Raw genomic sequence first — 22,829 nt, forward strand, 5'->3', positions numbered from 1 at the left:
AGTGGTCTTACTATTGTGATTGTAACAGTCCTGCAGGATCCTGTGTGTGTCCTTTTCTATAAAGCAAGACCATGTCTCCATAAAGAAAAACATAGGAAGAGAGAAAAATGGACCTAAAAGAACAAGAACACCCTCTCCCTGGGTAACTTTCCTGGGTTTCTGAGCATTGCATTCATAGTCAAGTTTCTTGCAAAGAGCCATTCTCTTTAGAATTTAGGACACAGCTGTGCAGCATCCCCCAATTCATGCCCCACAGAAGGCTCTGAGTCACATGACACCCGGACATACATAATTCTGAACAAAGGGGTGTGGCTTCTGTGTTCATAACCTGCCTCTCCCCTTCCCACAAGGCTTTCGGGGAGATTGTAGGTTGTGTCCTATTGGGCTGCTTGACACTGAAGTCCTGGCCCACAAGACGAGATTGTGAAGAAGGCGCTGCCTTCAGTGAGTGGAGGAAAAATGTGCCTTTTCCACATGGTCTACACACAGTCAGCTCAGGGGGTCGGCTTGGAAGGGGGCCCTGATCATTGTAAATACCCTATGGCCTCCTGTGCAGGCGTGACAACCTGCCAGACCACATGGTGGCCAGGACAACACAGAGGAAAATCAAGGGTGACCAAGAAACACCTGTGGCAGCAGGAGTCCTGCTTTCATACGAAATTTCACAAACTTCATGAGAATCTTGAGTTATGAAATAGGAAGGGGAATATGTTTAGCCAAGATGGAAAGTAGCCAGATAACGGAAAGTAAAGCCTAGAAATAAATCTGCATTTCTAGGTGGAACCACATTACCAATGGTGCTTTCTGAGACAGGTGCTAGGATTCTGCTGTTTCTGCACACAGCTTGGAAGAGAGCTGGCTTTGCAAACCTCCCAGTTTCAGGAACGCTCAGCTGCCGGGCACAGTGCTGCAGCAAGTCCACTGCATGGGTCACACGAGGACACTGATGCTGAGAGAGAAAGCACTAGATAAGGTTGGTCAGGCACAGTAAGATAGGATAATTCCCGTCGTCTTTAGAGGAGCAGGGGTCTAAGTTCTCGGAGGTAGAAATGAACCGTTCTGAAAGATTCTGGCCCAGAGAGAAGGGAAGGATCGCCACCACTCTTGAGTCATCTGTGGTGCCCCAAACACTGTGTATCATTACCACTGCCAGGTGGGAGGAAAACAGTGGAGATGCAATGGTATCACAGACGGCACTTACAATCATGAGGGGACGAAAGGGCTTCTAGTAAAGTGAGAAACGCCTAAATAAACATCAGTTCTCCATCGACAGAAATTGAGGTGGATCAAATAATAAAGTGGTGGGCAGATGGAGATTTAGTCATATTTTGGAATTATGAGAAAGTACAGGATGTTTCCTCATGGATGAAATGAATAGTTAAAATATTTTTTTGTATAGATAACCCATTTATATAGTTCAAAATGCAAATCCAGGAGTCCCCCTTGTCCCCATTTCATTTTGTGTGGCTTCAGTGACCTGAGGCTAGCTGCGGTCTGAGAACCTTAAGTGGAAAATTCCAGAAATAAATAATTCATAAGGTTTAAGTTGCGCTTGTTCTGAGTAGTGTGATGGAATCTCTTGCCGTCCTGCTCACCCCGCCCAGGCTGTGACCCTTCCCTCTGTCCAGCGTGTCCGCACCATAGATGCTCCCCGGGCCATAGTCTCTCAGTAGCCACCTCTGCTGTCAGAGTGAAAATCCGTGGTACATGTAGAGTCTGACACCACCCGTGGTTTCAGGCATCCGCTGGGGCCTTGGAATGAACCCCTTTGGGTGGGCAAGCACTGCACTGTAAAAGGGTGTGCGGTGGGGAGTCTCCCTCTCACTGCCGTCCTCAGACCCCGTTCTGCACCCATAGAAAGTCCATGCCTGCTTTATTCCTAGACATATTTAATGCACATATAAACAAGCACATCTTTATGTCCTTTCTTACTAAATTCAATTGGTAGCGCACTCTACACAGAGGTCTGCATCTTGCTTGTTTTTTCTCTTTTTACCATTTATGGTGGGGGATTTTCCCATCCGTGTATAAAGAGCTTCTTTTTTATTTTCTTCAAATGCACAACATTCTGTTGTAGTTCAGATACCCCTTAATATCTTTAACCAGTTCTTATTGGAGGACTTTTGCACAAAATTGTTTATTTGAAATAAACAAAAGTGTAGCAAATGGTACCTTGTGGGAATCATTATCCTAAAAAAAAAATCAATAAAAAGCTGTCTCCTGTTAGAAATTGCGTTGGGGATTAGAATGAGAAGCAGAGTCCAATGGTTAAGGACACTCAGAACTTCTGGGGTCGCTCCGGAATTTTTTGTATTTTATGCCGGTGAGGACAATACTGACCTATTGTGGCAGGTTTCATGTGAAAGCCGGTAAGTCTTGAGGTAATCAGAGAATCAGCACGATCAAGTGCAACTAGACACCTGAGATCCTTAAGCATGTTGTGTCTAATGTCGCCTGAAATCTGGATCTGAATTAGCCCTCCCTCGCGAGAGGAGGATGAGTGACTGAAACAAATCCTTGCCAGGCACCCTGCCTCTGGGCCCCCATGAAAGCTGAAGCCTTTGCTATGTCCTTTCAGGGAGTGGTGTCCTGGCTGTCCTGATGATAGCTGCGTTCCTCCAACCCATACGAGATGTTCAGCGGGAAAGTGAAGGAGAGAAGAAATCAGTACCTTTCTGGTCCACTTTACTGTCGACTTTCAAGCTATATAGAGATAAACGTCTGTGCCTCTTAATTCTGCTGCCGCTGTACAGTGGATTGCAGCAAGGATTCCTCTCCAGCGAATACACAAGGGTATGAACGAAAGTGAGGGCCGGTGGCTCAGGCCATGCGTGGCATCACTGCCTTGCCTGTGTCTGTACCTGCAGGACCGCAGAGTGTCTCAGGCCACCTGCCCAGGGCTGGGGCTGGAGGGAGCGGGGTCCTATGCTCCCAGTGCTACCATAGCTGAGTTTATGATTCAAGGTCTCAACCTCCAAGTAACTTCCAACTCACAGGAGCTTCCACTTCTTGTCTCAAGGGAGAACGTCTTGCTTGATCCGTGTCTTCCTGGGGAAGGAGCCGGAACAAGTGGATGGGCAGCTGCCGCTGACTCACCCCACAGACACTCATCGGTGTTACCCCTGCCTGGACCTCACCCTGCACTCTTACTTTAGAGTTTACATATAGGAAAAGCATTAAGTCCATGAATACCACCAAAATTTCTTATCTCTCTAGTTTTTTTTTTTCTTTCTTTTTTTCTTTTTTTGAGATGGAGTAACACTCTTGTTGCCCAGGCTGGAGTGCAATGGCGCCATCTCAGCTCACCGCAACCTCTGCCTCCCAGGTTCAAGCGATTCTCCTGCCTCAGCCTCCCAAGTAGCTGGGATTACAGGCGTGTGCCACCACGCCTGGGTAATTTTGTATTTTTAGTAGAGACAGGGTTTCTCCATGTTGGTCAGGCTGGTCTCAAACTCCCAACCTCAGGTGATCTGCCTGCCTCGGCCTCCCAAAGTGCTGGGATTACAGGCATGAGCCACTGTGCCTGGCACCTCTAGTTTTCAAATCATGCTTCACAATCTAAAAATCGATGTGGCTCTTGAAGCTTCTGCTCCATCCACTCCTGCCACCTTCTCCCCTCAAGGTGAGAGAGGCGGTGCCCCACCTCAGGGTGCATAAAGAAAGAAGCCACTCCTGGAGGCTGTTGAGAGCTGGGGGCCAGAGCTGGACCAGCAAGGGCCTGTGTCTGGCAGAGGCTCTCCTTCCGGAGGAAACTTCTCTGCTCCAGATCCCTCCCAGGCAAGGCTGCCAACTTAGCAAGATAAAAAGCACCTCAGCAGGTAGAATTTGAATTTCAGATAAACCACAAATGTCTCTCCAGGAGTATGCCCAGGCCATAGTGGGTGTCCTCAACTTTATCTGGCAGTGCTACTTTTAGGACAGCCTTGATGGAGAATCTTAGGAGCTTAAAAGAGTAGAAACAGGATAACAGAAAGGTCTACTTGGCGTTTTGGGGACAGCCCCTCCTGCTCCTCCACTGGACTTGTCCTTGTCCCCCCTGATGTGGCTGTGGCTGGTCTTCTCGTCTCAGTCCCTGTTCTGCGTGCCCGCCCTTGAGGTCGCCCGTGATGGGAGTGTGGTGCGGTGGGCATGAGACACATGTGCAGCCGGCTGCTGGGCTGCTCTGAGGCCCCGGAAGAGGTGTCAGGGCAATCTTTTCATTTTCTCTTTCTCTCTCTGTTTTTTTTTTAACTCTCTTTAGACCTAACAGGTAATGATTGGCCCCAGCAAGGGCAGGGTGTATTGGCTTCCATATAAAATAGTGCCCATTTCACAGCAAATAGTGAGAAATACATGAGAAAGAATTTTGTCTGCAGTTGTCCAAACTGCCTCCTTTTAGTTCTCCCCAAACAGGATTTTCTTACAAACACCAGCTTTTCTCCTGCATGGGAGCCACAGAGCCTAGAGGAAGGTGTAGGCAACACTGGCCTGCTGGCCATCTCAGAGCAGATGTTCTAAGCACCCGACTGCAGCTTTAGCTTGAGCACGGGAGGCCTGGGAGCGTCCATGACGTGGCTCTGCACCCCTCTCCCCAGTCCTATGTCACCTGCACCCTGGGCATCCAGTTCGTCGGCTACGTGATGATCTGCTTCTCGGCCACTGACGCGCTGTGCTCCGTGTTGTATGGAAAGGTCTCGCAGTACACGGGCAGGGCTGTGCTGTACGTGCTGGGTAGGTATCAGCGTGGGTCCCATCCCAGCTGTCATAACGATTTGCAGTAGCAAAAGCGCACAGCTCACAGTCAGGACAGGCTGGAAAAGTGCCCCTGAAACTGCTTTGAAATCAGTAACGCCCTGTAAGATGCATTCATTCTTTCAGTCCTTTCTTCACCCCCTCAACAAGCAGGAATCAGATCTCTCCCCAAGCTGGCTCTGGGCAGGCACTGTGCTCGGCATGAGGCCACACAGCAAGTGCCTGCTCCGAGTGGGCACTCGGTGTGGTGACCAGGCCAGGGTGGGGCAGGGCAGGGTCTCTGCAGGTGCAAATGAGGGACACGAAGCCAGTGGTGAGGCCATGGGGTTCACGGAAAGACACGCTGGGGTTGGGGCAGCTCTGTTCCACATCTATTCACACAGTGGATAAGGACAAGACTTCTAAGGCCACAGACTCCTCCCTAAACACACAGCACCTTCCATTTTTCTTGGGAAGGGAAGGGAAGAGATGAGTCAGAGATCACGTGAACAATGAGGAATGCAGGCACTACGAAAAACAGCGCCTGGCATGTCAATGCCCCAGGCAGGGCTGGGTGTGGGGGCGCAGCCAGAGGAAGGGCACACGGTGAGCATCTGCCAGGGCCATGGAGCCTGGAGGCTCTGCCTGGGGTTTCCTATCCGTCTTCACGGCGCCCTGTGAAGCAGACAGTGTTCCCTTACAAATAGGAGATCATGGAGTGCAGAAGTGGAGGGACTTGCCTAAGGTGGCACAGCCCTGGGGCATGCGGTGTGGACCTGCCTTTCCGCTGACAGAGACCCTGCTCTTCCTCTGTGGCGTCTTGAGCGTCAATGGGCAGCCTCATTACTGCATCCTAGAGATGCCACAGCCTGTGGAAATTGGGGTCCCAAATCTGTGACCTGCTGGGACGAGTCACAAGGTGGGGCCCACAGATGCTACCTGCCTGGGGGGTCTGTGGCCTCCTCCCTTTTGTCCCCATGCCCCTACTTGGAAGGCTCAGATGAAACCATGGGCACACTTTGTCCTACCCCCTGGCTACTCGGAAAGGTGCTGGGATGCTTCAATTTATACCTAATGAGAAGGCCCTTCTCTTTCTGACTTTAAACCCTCTTAGCTTAGGGGCAACCTCAGGCCCAGACAGGGTGACCTTCCTTCCCAACATGATGCCAGACCACACCCAAGGCCCTCCAGGCTGAGGCTGCGGGTCACGCAGCAGGTGTATGGTGCAGAGCATTGATTTAGAGCTAGCAGCACGCATACACATCAGCTCACAAATTAAATGTCAAGGTTCCAACTAAAAAGACGACTTCCAGAGCATTAAGGGAACATTGAGCATGAAGCAAACATTGAGACAGTTCCAGAGGATGGTTGAGACGGTTGAGATGGTTGAGACAGTTCCAGAGGACGGTTCCAGAGGACGGTTGAGATGGTTCCAGAGGATGGTTGAGATGGTTGAGACGGTTCCAGAGGACAATTCCAGAGGATGGTTGAGACAGTTGAGATGGTTGAGACGGTTCCAGAGGACGGTTGAGATAGTTGAGATGGTTGAGATGGTTCCAGAGGACAATTCCAGAGGACGGTTGAGATGGTTGAGATGGTTGAGACGGTTCCAGAGGACAGTTCCAGAGGACGGTTGAGATGGTTGCTCCAGCACTGACCCACCTCCAGGCCCCTCCAGGCCATGATGATGGCCCTCATCGCCTGGCGGTTTCCCCTCTGCACCCCCAGGCGCGGTGACCCACGTGTCCTGCATGATTGCCCTACTGCTGTGGAGACCTCGTGCTGACCATCTGGCAGTGTTCTTCGTATTCTCTGGCCTGTGGGGCGTGGCAGATGCCGTCTGGCAGACACAAAACAATGGTGAGTCCCCAGCCCAGGCCCCTTCCTCTGTGGCAGCAGGGGGCGGTCCCTGGCCAAGGCAACTGTGGGGCTCATTAGATGCCAATGGGCCAGAGCCAAGAGAGATGAGTTGGGAGAGACGGGAGGGCCAAGAGGGCTTTGATGTCGCCTCTGAGTCTGATGTATTTTCTCTGAGCATTTATTCAGATTCATGATGCAAAACTGGAAAACCACCCAAGGTTCCTTCTGGGCACCATTCCCTCAGGATGATGTGGTTTTGCTTAAGTCAAGTCGCCCATTCGAGCTGGGGTGCAAGACTCTCTACCCCTAGGACAGCAGTCTCTTCATGACTGAAAACCTTTATTCAGATGTGCTTGTGAGCAGAGGCACACTCCCGTGTACCTGGGCCTGGGGTGTAAACATGCAGAGCCTTCCAAGGAGCCCACGGGACGATGGGAGGTGGCAGTGTGAGCCACAAGCCACACACATCACAGGTCACTAGGGTCAGTGTCTGTGGACGGGGCTCTGGGGCATCCTGGGCAGTGGTGGGTTTTCTGGGAGCAGCAGGTGGGGGCCCTGTGGATGTGGGGGAGCAGGGGAGGCCAGGGTGGGCTTCCTCCTAGAGGCTACATCTGCATCACGTATGGGCTGACCACTGTCCAGGTGGGGTGGGGTGCAGGAGGAACCAGGGCAGGAGGTGGCAGGGATGCTCCAAGGCCTTGCTGGGGCTGGGGCCCCTAAGAAGGCGGCCTGGGGGGAGTGCAGAGGAGTGGGGTGGAGTGGCAAGTCGGGTCCCCAAGTGTGGGGCCAGCATGTGGGGGAGGGTCAGATGCACCTAGGTCACTGGAAGCAGCAGAAAGCGCTGACACCCAGGAGTGACTGGGAGCTATGTGGAGTCGGCCCCGTGTCACAACAATCAATTCCAAAAGGCAGGTGACAAGGTCCAAGGTGCGGCCCTGTGGGGAGCCGGGAGGGCTGGTTGTCGGATAGAAGGTGACATCCCATGATGATGGCAGGAGCCAAATGCCAAAGTCCTCACAGAATAGGGTGGCCTGGCCAGGAGGTCAGGCAGGGCAGTGAGGACACGGATGGGAGATGAGCGGGAGCCAAGGAGCCAAGCAGGAGCCAGGGAGGAAGGGGCCCCAGGCTCAGGCAGCTGCACTAGAGAGGCCTGAGGGCAAGAGAGCTGGAAGGGGACATGGCCGTTGCACCTGTAATCCCAGCTACTCGGGAGGCTGAGGCAGGAGAATCACTTGAACTCCGGAGGCAGAGGTCATAGTTAGCCGAGATCGCACCACTGCACTCATGCCAGGCTCTGCTGAGCTCCGAGGTGCTTTGTGCGGGCTGGCTGTGTTTTCCACAAGGAGATGCGTGAGAGCGTTTTGGAGGAAGGTCACTAGGAAGAGAAGGAAGCTGGGGCAGTGTGTGTGGCCGCTTGCCGGAGGGTGTGCGTACTGGGTGGTGTTGAAAATGACACAGATGAGGACTTAGGGTAGGAACCCTGAATTTCCCAAAAAACCCCATCTAAGGCCCCGAGGGGTGTCAGAGGCCCAAAGAGGCAAGACTGCGTGTCTAAGAGATGCTGATGAGGTGAGATGAAGTGTCCTCTCGGAGGTGAGCATGGCTCACATGAGACCCTCTTCCCTTCAGGAGAGACTTCACCATTCTGCCTTTATCTGGGAAACACTCGGGGCTTAGAAAATGGAAAAAGCAAACCCACAAACGAACTACAGGCCAATGTTTCTGAGATGACAGACCTGGCTGCTGTCCCTGCACTGAGGATAAAGAGCACATGTGACCTCAGATCGCGGACAGAACACTCCAGCCACGTCCTTTCTTGTCTTCCTGGTGGGTTGCGTATCCACAGGACAGCTGAAAATCACCTTTGAACAAACCCACACTGTTGGATTTAAGGAGCCGTGTTTCACAGTCCTTTCTGCTGCCCCAGTAATGCAGGTGGACCTAGTGAAGCTCTTCACCAAAATGCGTGTGTACTTGGCCCAGCGCCACACTCTGGCTTGTTGGGATCAAGGCCTGGAGGCTGGAAGGGGTAGACTGGACCCGAGGCCAGGCCGGGGCATTGCTTAACAGAACAAATACTGATTTAATGGAGGGGAGACAAACAGCAACTCACTTTGGTGTTCTTGGCAGTGCAGAATTATAAGCTAGTGGCATGTCACCTCGCTGCAGGACTCTTAGCTACGTTACCAATAAGCATCAAACAGTATTTGTTTAAACTGTCCCCTGGATGTGTGGCAGAGCCGGTGTTTCACTGAGCTCCCCAAATGCACATCCCATTACCAGAAGTGCACCATGACTTATCTGAACTTACATGAATTTTAAAATGTATTTACACATTAAATGAAAAGGAGAACACTGGGACAAATATCCCCACAATATTCCATACGATAATTCCCTAAATGCTCCCAATGAATGTGATCATTCATATTTGGTTTTTGTTCTTCCTGAGCTATGTGAACAGTGGACTTAACTCTCCTTTTCCTTATATGGACACATGATACTCTCAGGGAAAGCCTTGTTGAATTGTGCAAACAAAGTTACCTAAGGTCAAACAAAGAGTATCAACGTCCAAGTCCGGTGAATGACTGGAATAAAGACTCCCTTTAATAAGGGATGCTAATTTAAATTGAAACTGTTTCTGTCTTTCTGTACAGGAAAAAGTAATTTTTTTCAAAAATAAACCAAACTGGCCGGGTGCGGTGTCTCACCCCTGTAATCCCACCACTTTGGGAGGATGAACCAGACAGATCACTTAAGCTCAGGAGTTCAAGACCAGCCTGGCCAACATGGTAAAACCTCATCTCTACTAAAAATACAAAAATTAGCCAGGCGTGATGGCACATGCCTGTAGTCTCAGCTACGAGGGAGGCTGAAGCTGGAGGATCACATGAACCTGGGAGGCAGAGGTTGCAGTGAGCTGAGATCACGTCATTGCACTGCAGCCTGGGCGACAGAGCAAGACTCTGTCTCACAAAAAAAATGTTGGGGAAAATATTTTCATATACTTGAGAAGCTCCTGTGGACTTTATACTCGCAATCGTCATGCGTGAGTGGCATTTTAGTGCCGCGTTCCTGCACTCCTGGCAGGCTGGCTCTCCATGCAGCACAGCACACACACAAGGTCTCTGTTCTCTATTTTTTGAAAAAACTGGAAATTTTATGTAGCTTTGGCTACATCTCAAGAACAGCTCTCTTCATTTTTGTTTTTCTAAGTAGCAAGTTAGATTTCTAATCCTATTCTCCCCAAATGTATGCTTTCCTTTAAGAACATATGTGGACCACGTATGTTCTTAATTAACGACACCGAATAAAACCCAATGCACTTTGTCCTCACCTTTCAGTCATCACTGCTCAATTTAAAGACTGGTCCTTACAGTCTCCCACTTAGAAGCAGGTCAGAAGACTTCACCATTTGAGCCCCTCCTTCCTGGGCCAGAATTGAGGATCCCTGGCTCACTGTCCCACTGGGCTCCAGCCATCCCCTGGCCTCTGCAAGGGGAGATCTGTGCCAGGCACTCCTCTCTGCTTATTCCCTCAGACAGCTAATGAAAGATGGGTGCAGTTGCCATGGCAACCCTTCCCCGCCAATGCGCTGCCATGAAGATACAGAATGTCTAGTCTAAAAATACTCTTTTGCTCTGTTGGCTGTTTTCAGGGTGATAAACTCAGAAAATCTCACTTCTTCAGTGCCCTATTCACTTAACCTGTCTTCTCTGACTAAACAAGATTGCTGGACTTCTCATCCACATCCTGGTCTCTTTAACCCTGGGCCACCTGGGAAGAGGAGGCAGACAGGCCAGGCTGAGAGCAATGCTTTGTCTTTCTAAATACAGCTTTTATTTTGAAATAGTTTTAGATTTACAGAAAAGTTGCAAATGTAGTACAGAGAGTCCCCTTGAAAGGTACCAACCTATAGATCCAATGCATTTACCCCGTAGGCCCTGTGCCAGCTTCCCCAAATGCTGAGCATCTCACAGAGCCACGGCACATTCGTACAGCTAGGAAGTAACGCTGCCATGTGACAGTTAGTGGGGGGACAGCCTTTATTTGGGTTCCTCCAGGCTTCCCACGAGGGTTCTTTTTTCTGTGCCAGGATCCTGTCCTGGATTCCCTGTTGGACTCAGTCATCGTATCTTCTGGCTGCTCTGTGACAGCTTTTCATTTTCCTTGTTTTTCATGACCTGGACCCTTTTGAAGAGCACCGTAGTCTGTAGGCTGTTCCTTAATTTTGGTTTGTTTGCTGTTTTCTCATGATTAGGCTGGGGCTGTGGGTTTGCGGAGGACAGCTCCCTGGTGAGGCACTTTCTTGTCCCGTCATATGGGGGATACAGGACAGGGACAGGCCTCCTCACCAGCGATGTTAACCTTGATCCCGTTGGCTCCGTGGTGCCGGCCACATCTCTCCACTGCAAACCCACTGCCTTCCCTTTCCACACGCGGTTCTGCGGGAGCGAGTGCCCAGGGAGCCAGCAGTCAAGAAGACAGCAGCTAATCTCCACCCTGAGGAATGTCTATGTGTACTCTGTAATTCTTCCATAAAAAACGCCTGTCCCTTCTCCCCGATGTATTTATTACTCAATCATTGATCTGCATCAGCATGGGCTCGTATATTTACTCTACACTTTGGGTCACCATCCAACACCACATTATTTCTTTATTAAGGTGGTAAGACACGGGGCTTATTCTAGCCCCCACTGCGTAGCTGTCGCTCCATTCTCCGGCAGCCAGAAGCCTGGTTCCCACTAGGTATGACTGCTTCCTTATGTGTTCAATCTTTTACATGTGTACAGTCATTTCAGAATTGTTGAAATACCATTTTCAGTCTACTTTCCTTTTTAAAAAATGTCTTTCCCCACTATGTCCTTAGCTGTGGGTAGTTCCATGCAATTCAAAACAATAAATGCATTGCTTTCTTTATGTTTGGATTAAAATAGGAACCAAATCTTGAGTAATTCCCTGAAAAGCCTGAGTTTAATTATCACTGGCATTGGCCTCTCCTCCCCTAGACTGGGCTGATGTCATCCACACGTGTGGCTTCCCCTTTCCCGAGTGGGACAAACGGTTTCCCCTGATTCTTCCTCCGTGTTTCTTAAAGGCAGTTCCAGCGGCTTCATCTGGGTCCTAGGCGTCTCCCTCTGTGGGTGTGGACCCTGCTTCTGTGGGTAGAGCTGGATTAGCAGACAGGCAGGAGTGAGGGTGTCACCTCTGTCTGGGGCCACACCTGTCTTCTTTGGCCTCCTCCATTCTGTTTTGTGGCCAGGGGACAGCCCACTTTCCAGCCACCTTCTGGGTCCCCAAGTCCTCCATGCTGGGGAACCTACTGTCTCCCAAACACATCTAGGTGATTTTGAACACAAGTATGTGAGCTAGAAGACAGTCTAGCTCTTTCTCTCTTTGTTGTAGATCTCCTCACTAGGTCCAGATTTTGGAACCAGAGTCAGAGAATGTCAAGTTCTTCATGTGACATGTGAGGCATTGAGGGCCCGGAAAGTTTATGTTTATGGAAAAACTCAGAGGGCCGAGGAGAACATGGCTACTTATGAAGAAGCTGAATTGGCCTTGGACCAACCAGAACTTGACGAAGGGAGATGGTGGGGGGGCTGGGGGAGTGGAGTGAGTCCCTTTCTTGGAGGACAACGATTTCTAATCACGGCAGCACAATATAAATTTCATCTTGAAATTCTTGAATGACAGCAACCCATATTCCCAAAAAGTTAGCTTAAAATTAGAGTTGCCTGTATTACTAGAATATTTATAATCTGGGTCCATTGGCTCTGGTTTTCCGACCTGCCCAGGGTGTAGCCGGGAGCTTTTAGCCACAGAACATGGCATGATCTACCACTTATAGCCATGGTGTCTCAACTTGGATTTTCTTCCCTAGAACCTTGGTTTTGGATCCCATGCTAACAGTCACCATCAAAAAACAGACAAGAGGTGTTTAGAATAGTCTCAGAAGCCAACTAAATCAAAATTTGGTTATTCAGTTCTCTTTGGTCATTACTTTTATTAAGGTGGACAATGTGCAGACTGTGGGACAAGAAGGGTGCCTTGTCCTGAGGCTTCCAAAGAGCTTCTTGTTTCCCAAACATCCATGAGCTGTTGACAGTGTGAATCTTAGGGCTCTAGCAGGGCACTCCCCTGCTGTAAGCGCATCTGCGTTGGTCTTCAGCAGTAGAGGGAGCATTCATGATGTGAGTTGTTTCGTATAAAACTCATTAACACATTTAGTGCTGGGCCTCCCCACACACGGCATTGTCTCCAGCACTAAGGGAGGGGTGGGCAGAGCGAATCTTCGGCAAGACGGTTCTTTCCACACTCCTGTGTGTCTTGCGCTGAACCAGGTGCCATGGAGTTTACAAAATTAAATGCCATCCTCCCTGCCTCAAGGACCCCATGGCTGGCAGTCTGGAATCCTCCTGGGGAACCACATGCTTCTGCCCCTGGTTTCAGGCCCTGCTGCCTGCAGTTAAGGTCACCGCACACCCTGCCTCACCGGGGCTCAGGCTGCCACTGTCCCTGCTCCTGTCCCTGCCCCCCACCTGCCTACTTCGCCTCAGGCTGTGGAGGGTTTTCCTGGGTCTCTGTGGCCAGCAGCCTGGGTGGAGCCCCAAAAGGAGCCCTGTGTTTAAATCACAAGCAGGAAAATCCTGGGGCTCCAAAATCCCTAAGCTAAAGGGAAAAGTCTAGCTGGGAACTGCTTAGCACCAACGTGCCTCCCGTTCTATTCAAAGTCACCCCTCTGCTCACTGAGAGAAATGCAGATCTGATTGTTTCCTTTGAAGAGGCTAATCAGAAACTCAAAAGAATGCCACCATTTGTCTCTTATCTACCCGTGACCCGGAAGCCCCCTCCCTGCTTCCAGTCTTCCTACCTTTGCTTGGAGTTGTCTTGCCTTTCTGGACAAAACCAATGCTCATCTTAACCAAACCAATGTTCATCTTACGTATGTTGATTGATGTCTCATGTCTCCCTAGAGTGTATAAATCTACAGTGTGTTCTGACCACCTTGGGCACATCTCGTCAGGACCTCCTGAGGCTGTGTCACGGGCACCGGTCCTCAACCTGGGCAAAATAAACATTCTAAGTTAACTGAGACCTGCCTCAGGTTTTCGGGGTTCATGCTATCATCTGGCATGTAAAATCATTCTGTTGTGAAAAAAGAAAAATGTCTTGATTTAGTTGAGAAAATGGGGCAGTGGGAAAGCTGTGCTCTTTTCACAAACAGGGTCACTGTGGGGCCCATGGCAGAGCTCTCACTCCGCTCTCTCCTCTGCAGCTCTCTACGGCGTTCTGTTTGAGAAGAGCAAGGAAGCTGCCTTCGCCAATTACCGCCTGTGGGAGGCCCTGGGCTTCGTCATTGCCTTCGGGTACAGCATGTTTTTGTGCGTGCACGTCAAGCTCTACATTCTGCTGGGGGTCCTGAGCCTGACCATGGTGGCGTATGGGCTTGTGGAGTGCGTGGAGTCCAAGAACCCGATCAGACCCCACGCTCCAGGACAGGTCAACCAGGCAGAGGATGAAGAAATACAAACAAAAATGTGAGAGCAGTGAGGTCCGAGGAGGATGAACTCAGAAAGCACCAGCCAGAGAATTTTCTTAGAAGATGCCTCAGGACATAGAGCGGCTCCTCATCACCATCTCAGCACAATTTGGCCATTCTGAAGAGATCATGTTATTTCACTCTTCATGTATTTTTTTTCTATTCTAACAAATTTTTCGTCCACCATCTTAACAGAGATCAAGTGTATACATGAAGGTATCAGTTCATTTAATTTTAGATGCAAAAGAAAAAGGTCTAACGTACAATCAGCCAATTAGAATTTGCCTGAAATCATAGACTCACCCTAGTTTTATTGCTGTAGTTGTTTTTAAGAATTGGAAGCCTGCTTAAAAAATGTAGTTGAGCCCCATAATTTTACAAATGGGCGAACTTTTAAACTTCTAACTCTACTTGGATCAAAACCTCATACATTTTACAAAGGGGTCCTGACAAGTCAGCTGACTCAACCTCACAGAGTCAGGGGGTGACAAAGCCAGACTGGGGCTCAGGATTCCTGAAACGTGTGGGGTCTGCGTTTCTAAATAAAGACGGTTATTTAATGGACTTACCTCCTGCCCAAGTACTGTTGTGCTAAGTACTCACATAGACACACACACACGCTTCATCACATCAGTGCTTTAGTGTGCTGTGGCCTTCGCAGACCTTCGAGAGCATTTCAGGTGAAGATGCTACATGTGTCTGTTAACATGGAAAATGGTGCCGGGCACGGGTTGGGTGATATTTGCCCATCTCACAGTCATCGTCTTGTCCCTTGGCACCTGGTCTCCTCTCTCCCTTGTTCTTCCTAGCAGCACTGCCGCCTGCCCATCTCCAAGGCTTCTTCCTTGTCCACTGCACTCAGGTCCCCAGGCCCTCCCCAGCCCTCCCCCATTACTAGCACCACCTTGCCCAGCCCCTTCCCGCCTCCCGCTCATCCTCTCCCACAACCCACCCTCCCCGGCCCTACCCCTGCCCCCCCCACCCCTCCCCAGACCCCTTCCTGGCCCCTTTCCTACCCTCCTTGGCACCCCCCCACCCTTCCCCCACTCCCGTGCCCTCCCCACCCCCGCCAACCGCCTTCCCTGCCCCCCCCCACCACCCTCGCTTCCTGGACCTGCCCCGCCCACCCTGGACCCCCCCCCCCACCCCCTCACTCCTGGGACCTCCCTGGCCTGTGGGCCTGGAGCTTGGGATCTCTTTTGTCCTTTAACCCTAAGCTGCTTCCTTCCCCTTCCCTTCCTCTTCCTCCCCCTCCCCTTCCCCTTTGGTTCACACTGAGGCTTCTTCTAGACCTTATGTGTCCTGTCTGTGGCTCTCCCGCTGCATGTTGTTCGTTTATTGTTTCTACGAGCATCTCCTCCTCCTGGAAATTCAGCTTTCCAGTGTCTAGTACACAGCACTAGCAGGTGCTTCATATGTGCAGAAGGAAATGGGCCTCTCTGTGAAATTCCAAATACTTCCTTCACTCACCCTCATTCATTAGGATGCTGGCTGCCTCTGGCCATGGGAGGGGGAGCAAATGCCTCCTGGCCCTGGCCCTTTCTCCTTCTAGTCAGTGTCAGCCAGGTGCCCAGACGGGCGATGATCAAAGGCAGAGAAAAGTGCAGCTGCCACGAGCTAATGCTTCCTGGCCTCTCAAATGTTACCTCTCAAGCTTCCCCACGACGAGCTGGGCATTTTCTCCCAACTGTTAGAATTCCCCTGATAGCCCAGTGTCTCTGACCACCAGCAGCCTTCTTCTTGTTACCCAGGCTCATGTGCCCTTTATGTGCCACTCTGTCCCTGGCCTGGCTGATCAGGGAGGAGGCCCTGCCATTCCTCCCCCAGGCTGCCGATCCTCTGCCTCCATTCCATTCCCTGTCGATCCTCTGCCTCCATTCCATTCCCTGTCGGCTGCTTCCTGGTTCATTGTCCTCCCTGCAGGGCTCCTCTTATCCTCCATCCGGGCTATTGAGAGAGGGATTTCACTAAACACAGGACACTTCACCTCCAGCGCCCATCTAAAGAGCACAGTCTTACCCACTGGCCGGGACAGTCCAGGCCTCCGTGAGTTAATCCCAGCTGCCTCTCTAGCCTTCCGTCCGTTTCACCAGACTTCTCTGTCCAATGCTTCTGTTAAATACCGAGGTCCTTCCCTTATGGGCCCTTCGCTCATGCTGTCCCTGTGTCTCTATCCAAACCACGTTTATCCTCCCAGACCCAGTGGAATGCCGTTAACTCTTTGCAGGCTTCAACCATCTTCCTAAAGCTGGGCCTCTGCACTCTCTAATCCCTGCCCTGCTTTGTCCTCCCCTTTCCTGCCTTGCACCACGGGCTGCCTGGTGCCATCCCTGTCTGTGGGATCCATGGCCGTCTTGCCCAGCGCCATGCCTGTTTGTGGGATCCATGATGGTCTTTGCAGCTCCCACAACAGGGTCATGTCAAAAGGAGTCAAGACTGGCTAGGGTATTTGTGTAGAGGGCGTTCATCGAGGGTAAGGTGACATGTCATGTCCCCTCCATTTGGAGGTTTAGGATTTTGTGAATTGATGATGGGCACTCCTGGTGCTCCTCAGGATAAGTCTTATTTGGAACTGGTCTTTGGTTTCTCAGTCTGCTCAGAGCATTTTGAACCCTGTAGACCCTAAGTCAGTAGGAACTCCTTAGACCTTCGGGGGTAGTGAGGCCTTTGCAGAATGTCTTGGAGACAATGAACTAGGCCTGCTCATGAGGTGTGGGGGGCACTAAGGAGTGAGCCCTGGGCCTAAGGCTGGAGGGGAGGACCCAGAGGTGAGAGGAGTTGGGGAGTGCATGTGCATTTGTCCAAACCAGTGTGCATCTGCGTGGCTCCAGCCGGCCGTTCAGAAGTGAGGTGGAGCAGGGCAGCCTCTCCAAGTGCTCCTGGGACAGAGAGCTTGCTAGTTTAGAAGAGTCCAGTTGGGGTTGCAGGATCATCAGAATTCTGCTCAGAGACTGAGCCATGATCGTGTTCTGCTGATGTTGATGCTTACAGGAAAGTGCCAGACTCTGTGTGACAGGAGCCTGAGCCTCCTCTGAGTCACTGGAGGGGTTCAATTGAGCTCAACGGAGGATCTGTGTGACAGGAGCCTGAGCCTCCTCTGAGTCACTGGAGGGGTTCAATCGAGTTCAACGGAGGGTCTGTGTGACAGGAGCCCGAGCCTCCTCCGAGTCACTGGGGGGGTTCCGTTGAGCTTGACGGAAGGTCTGGTTGTTGGGTGTCCATGTGGAGCGGCCAGCTGGACCTATGAAGATGCCCTCAACACACAGCATTTCCCACTGCTATGCACCTGACCAGCGGCTTGTCTGGACAGCCAGGCTCTCCCTGAAGGTGGCCGGTGGCATTGGGGACTTTTCTGATTTCTTCATCCTTTGCATTTTGGAACTGAAGCATTTGTGGCTGCGCCCAAGTGCCCTGGTGAGAGCCTAGAGAAAGAGCAAACCAGATTCTAATCTCTTCCTGGTCCCGGGGGGAGGGTGTGTGGCTGGGTCCCTGGGTCGTATCGGTATTGCCAGCCCAGCACGTGCTTAGCGGGAAAGTTGAACAGTAACCGGACTTCAAAGCAAATTTTTGGTTTTTCGGGTCTCCAGATAGCATTTATTTCAATCAGATCATCTACGCACTACAGAAAAAATAGTTTCTCTCTCTGGTTTTCGCATGACTGCTGGTGCGTCCAGGTCACTTTGATCACAAAACCTTTCTAACCAGTTTCCTGGTTAAGGGTCCAATTTATGAAACTCTTAATAGGAGCCTCACTTTCCATTGTGTCAAAGCAAATTAGTTAAACTCACTCTTTTTTAGTATTCAGTGTGTAAACTGGGAATATTCCTACTTCACAAAGAAAAATTAAAAGAGTGTGTATCATAAAATGCTATCAAGAGCTATACAATGGAACAATAAGAACAGCCATCCCCTAGACCAAGCTTAAAATGCAGTGCTTTTCTGTCAATCCCTGAACTGCAGTGCGCTCTTCTAAGCTTTCATAACATTTCATTCATCAGTCTTAAGTTTCCATGGCCCAACTCCCAGGACTCAGAGGCAAATGTGCCCTGTTTTTACTTGATCAGAGATTTGATGAAGGCAAGATTTTTAAAAAATATAATGTATGCCACAATATATTATACAAAATTTTCTAAAATCTAAAGATCTATCTATAAGAAAGCCCTTAAATATAGAAATTAAAACGTTAAGAGCATATAATGAAGAGACAGGGAGGGTGCCGCTGACCCAGATCTGTTGCCCATCTGCAGTTACTATTGCATTCTAAGATTAGCCCTGAGCTTGCTGGCAGCCACGGCAGAAAAATAAATGCAAATTATAAAATAGTCAGTTTTGATGAAAAGAGGCCTGCCAGCATCAAGAAAGAGATTCGTTTTCTAGGTCCCAAAATGTAAGGGGATTTTCATGTGGGTCCCCGGCCAAAAAACATGGAGCGAGTGTAGTGGACACTCTTCTCTGATGGGTTGTTACGGCTGTTTGGTGACTGTGATCTTTGCTAACTGCAGTGATCTCATTGGAACGTGATTCTCTGAACGTGTGTGAGCAAGGTCTGCTAATGAGACCAGGAGTGTGCACCCTCCTGAGATGAGGGCCGTCCACGCCTGGGCTTGGGGCCTCTGTATCACCCGCCTAGCCTGGGTCTGTTTAGTCAGTGACTCATCGCTACCTCACCCCAGTGAAAGCCGTGATGCCGAGATAGCTAACCCGCAGGAGAGCTCCAAAGCACTGAGGTGTCTGGCCTTTGTCAAGGTACTTGAGTCTGTTCCAGCTTCACAGCCAAATAACAAACAGACATTACTTCTTTTTCCTAAGTTCATTTCCAGGCCCAAGTCAAAGCTGCCTGAGTCCCCGGGGCCCCACTCCAGTCCCTCTGGAATGTTCTCTCAGAAGTTCCCAGCCCACCTTCTCCTAGCGTCCCGAGGACAGATCACGCCAGCTGAAAGAAGATCTGAGTCTGGGGAAGGAATCAGGAAACTTGTCTTCCTTCCTCCTTCCCCTTTTCTTCCCATGGGGTCAGCACCCTGGAAGGGGTAGGAAATCCAGAAGGAAGCACGTGTGTGGCGGGAATCATTCTTGAGAGAGCTGCGGGTGCCACGGGGCCAGCCACGCTCCTTCCCCCGAGACCGCCTGCCCAGGCCCCTGCTCGGCCAGACCCGCACACAAAGGAGCAGCGGCCGGAGACGTGGTGCCCTGGTGGACAGGGGCTGTACCGTGGCCTCAAGGAACGTGCATGGGCAGAGAACAGTCTCCTGTGGTGAAAGACAGATGCCGCCGTGGGTTTCCCCTGGTGACTATAAAGCCTCCATCCTACCCACGTTGCAAATGTCCCACTCTGCTCCCTCCTGTGCCTGACTCACTATCCCTGTCTGGAGAGCATCTGTCCGACTCCCAACGCGACACGCCCTCCCTCAGTCCCTGACTCCCTCCCTTCCCTTAGTCATTCTGTTTGCAAAAATAAGACAAAACAAAAATCTACACAGGCGTTCGACCAGACCGCTTTGGAAGGTAAAGTCTCACACCGGGAACGCAAAGCAAGTTATTTATCTCCCATGACGCCTCCGTCTGCCTGTCCTGATGCGTGTGGGCAATAGGAAGCCTCCTTCCTTAGGGAATAGTTCTTTCCTGCCCATTGCTGGCAGGGCAGGCTTTGCTTCATCTCCAGCCATGGCCTAAAAGGGCACCAATGACAGGGTGGGCCTTTGAAAATATGGCCCTGAAACCCAGAGGGTTTACCTGTTCAACTTGGAAGTGTGCCCATGAGCACCCGTGTGTGTGTGTGCACATCCGATGAGCTGCACAGTCCACACACTCAGCTCCGAGGAGAGCACAGCGGCCTTGAAGAGAAGCAGATTCGGGAACCTCACATTCAATACTGAGCCATGGATCTCACTCGGCCTCCAAGTACAGGAGAAAGCCCCACCCACCACCCCTGTCCCTCCTTCCCGGGCCTTCCCGCCAGGCCAGCCCCCTTCCAGGGCCGTCCCCTCACTCCTCCCTCACCTGCCCAGTCCTGCAGAAGGCAATTGTGATTTCTGTTTTTGCAGCAACCTTTCCTGAGACCTCATCTATCTGTTCCACTTCCATCCTTAACCCTGACAAATTCCAAGCAGGTCTCATTCTCATCATGCAAGAAAATTAATAAGCAGATTAGGATATTTATTCATTCATCCAAGAAGTATGTACTTAATATCAAGCATTTGCTAAGTGCCACATATTGACCTAGATATAGTGAATCAAGCAGGCATTAAACGGCAATGTTTTGTTCTCAATAAGTTTCTATTCTACAGAAAAAATGTAAAATCGGTTTGTGGGTGGCCAGAGGCAGGAAGAGCAATGGAATTGGGTGAGGGCATGAGGACAGACATGGCACAGCTGTGTGCAGGGCGGAAACACCGCTTCCTCTGACGAGGTGGTGGGAGAGGCTGCAGCACCCAGCGGGAAAGCCAGGGAGGTAAAGCAGGGGCTGAGGTCTGAGAGGAGGCCCACGGAGGGGGCCCAGATCGCACAGGGCCCAGCACCGAGGTAAGGCCCTTAAGTTTTATTCTGAGCCACATGGGAACCCGTATTCATTTCCTAGGGTGTCATAATAAAGCACCACAAATTTGAGTGGCAAAAACAGCAGGAATTCATTCATTTTCTCACAGTTTAGAGGCCAGAATTCTATCAAGATGGCAGTAGGGCCAGGCCCTTCTGAAAACCCTAAGGGAGGGTACTTCCTGGCTCTTCAGCTTCCGGAGCTGCGGGCCATCCCCAGTGTTCCTTGGCCCGTAGATGGACCACTCCAATCTCTGCTGCCATCTCCATGCGGCCTCTTCCCCATGTGTCTGTATCTTTGCTCAGCCTTCTCCTCTGTGTCTCTGTGTCTAGTTCCTCTAAGAGGAACTTCATGCCACTGGTGTCCACAGAAGGACACTAGTCATATTGGATTAACCACATCTGCAACAGCCCCATTTCCAAAGGTCACACTCTGAGGTTCTGGGAAGACATGAATTTTGGGGGACACTGTTGATCCCAGTACAGAACCTGCTAGAAGGCCTTGATTAGAGGAGTGGCAGGCATGAAGTGACTTCTTTATAAAAAGATCATTCTGGCTACAAGAAGCATTTTAAAAAGAACATGCTTATGTAACCAGCACCCAGAGCAGGTCATGGAACGCCACCAGCAGCAGCCGAGACCCTGGGGACCCAACACCACCACTTCCCCCAAGGCAACAGCTTCCAAAACTGGAGGCTCGTTTTATGTACTGAATTTGATGTATCTCTGTCTTCATTAACATTTATTATGAAAGCATCATGTTCATTATAGTCCTTCAAACAGTACTGAAGTAAAGATGGTAATAAAAGTCCATTCTCAGTTAATATTGACTATCTCCCCCAGTGAATCAGGTACTGTGCTCGTCGGGGGGTTTTTGAGGAATGCTAACTGGAAAAATGTCTAGGCTTTGGCCACCGGGTTGGGAAGATCTTTGGGAGGCACAGAAGTCCCCCCGAATTCCCTTAAGCCACGCTGTTTTTCAGTCTTTCTCCCTCAGGCTCAGTAGAGGGTAGAAGGGGTTCTCCTTCCATCAACCACCTGGGATGAGAGTCTTGATGCTCACTGGAGGGATAGGATAGGGGTGTCATAAAATGGAGAAAATTCTACGTATTGGTACAGAGTTTTCTTGCACTTTGCCAAAATTATAGATGTAAACATCATAATGAATCTAACCTCCTCTTGATTCCACAGGAGGGTGCGTAAAATAAGTGTGTTCTGGTGCCAACAGTGGGAAGCGGGGGATAGATTTATGCCATAATAGTGGGCATTTGTGAGTTCCACACAACAGAACATAGGGAGCCCCCAAGCACGCTGACTGCAGCACGAAGCCAGGGCGGGAGGAGACGCTGGACCAACACTGTGGTGGGATCCAGTGCTCCTCTGGGTTGGGTCTCTGACGTTAAAGTCCAGAATCTGTGTGGTCAGTCCCTAGGAGGTGCAAAGCCCATCTCCAAGCCTTTCCATATCCAGTAACCAGGAGTTAGGTGGAGAACTGAAGCCAAGGAGAGGAGTGAGCCCCATGTGAAATCAGGGAAATAATCAAAGGGAACAACAAATGGTTTGGGGAAATGTGTTTGCTTCTAGTGCTCACTTCAGACAAAAATACATTTTTATAAAAAATGCACACCGCATATTTTTCTTGCCAAAATGCCCCTAGGAGTCTCCTCTAGTCTTGATAGCTTTGCCCTTCTTCTGCCAGATACCCAAGTGGAGAGTCAGCACGAAGTCTCGGAGGTGCAGGTGTAACATCTCCAATGGAAGGGACAGATGAAACATGGCTGAGTAAATGCATGATTTACAAATCGACACACCAGTGATCTGAGCCCAGGTGCTCTTGCTTGTGCCAGGATTGCCTTCCCTGGGAGTGCAGGAAGCCCAGATAAAGTAACCCCACCCACCCACCCTTCCTCGCACGCTCAGGAAGACAGTCCTGGTGGAAGAACCTCATTTCACTTCATTTTTACAAAATTTACCCCACCACGTGCTGGGAGAAAAACAATAAATAATTAACAATGCATGAACATGTCAAATGGAAAAAGAAAAATGCCTTTCAGATTATATCTTATGAATGACTTTTGTTCTTGGTTTGTGGATAAGGAAATTAGCCATGTTTCCCTGTGCTTGACAGAACTTGGGCAACCTCCTCAGCAGCTTGGTGTGCAGTTTTTATAGAGTTACGTGAAGCAAT

The 22,829-nt window shown here is 50.4% G+C and overlaps 1 protein-coding gene across 8 annotated transcripts in view, besides 3 other annotated features; it reads left to right on the top strand.

The window, feature by feature from the left end:
• UNC93A (unc-93 homolog A) overlaps nucleotides 1–14,674 on the top strand; it is a 46,983-nt gene extending 32,309 nt beyond the window's left edge. For 7 of the 8 annotated variants that reach the window (XM_017010958.1, XM_011535906.3, XM_011535905.3 and 4 more), the window contains 4 exons: nucleotides 2,579–2,793; nucleotides 4,575–4,710; nucleotides 6,439–6,570; nucleotides 13,847–14,674. In XM_017010958.1, the coding sequence (XP_016866447.1) occupies nucleotides 2,579–2,793; nucleotides 4,575–4,710; nucleotides 6,439–6,570; nucleotides 13,847–14,112 (749 nt within the window). In that variant the 3' untranslated portion in view covers nucleotides 14,113–14,674. Of the gene's footprint in view, nucleotides 1–2,578; nucleotides 2,794–4,574; nucleotides 4,711–6,438; nucleotides 6,571–8,199; nucleotides 9,257–13,846 lie in introns of those variants that run through there. The other variant, XM_011535908.3, reaches the window with a different exon arrangement.
• Nucleotides 6,361–6,655: a silencer, noted in NCBI's record as "tiled region #10682; HepG2 Repressive DNase matched - State 6:EnhF". NCBI's record gives its function as "represses a minimal TATA promoter and a strong SV40 promoter by Sharpr-MPRA in HepG2 cells {active_cell/tissue: HepG2}" and the evidence as "EXISTENCE:reporter gene assay evidence [ECO:0000049][PMID:27701403]".
• Nucleotides 12,486–13,460: an enhancer, noted in NCBI's record as "OCT4-NANOG-H3K27ac-H3K4me1 hESC enhancer chr6:167727314-167728288 (GRCh37/hg19 assembly coordinates)". NCBI's record gives its function as "activates a minimal SCP1, AML or CMV promoter by ChIP-STARR-seq in primed H9 embryonic stem cells {active_cell/tissue: H9 hESC(primed)}" and the evidence as "EXISTENCE:reporter gene assay evidence [ECO:0000049][PMID:30033119]".
• Nucleotides 15,330–16,125: an enhancer, noted in NCBI's record as "H3K4me1 hESC enhancer chr6:167730158-167730953 (GRCh37/hg19 assembly coordinates)". NCBI's record gives its function as "activates a minimal SCP1, AML or CMV promoter by ChIP-STARR-seq in naive H9 embryonic stem cells {active_cell/tissue: H9 hESC(naive)}" and the evidence as "EXISTENCE:reporter gene assay evidence [ECO:0000049][PMID:30033119]".

Source organism: Homo sapiens, chromosome 6 (genome assembly GCF_000001405.40).
Source record: "Homo sapiens chromosome 6, GRCh38.p14 Primary Assembly".
Lineage (NCBI taxonomy): Eukaryota > Metazoa > Chordata > Mammalia > Primates > Hominidae > Homo > Homo sapiens.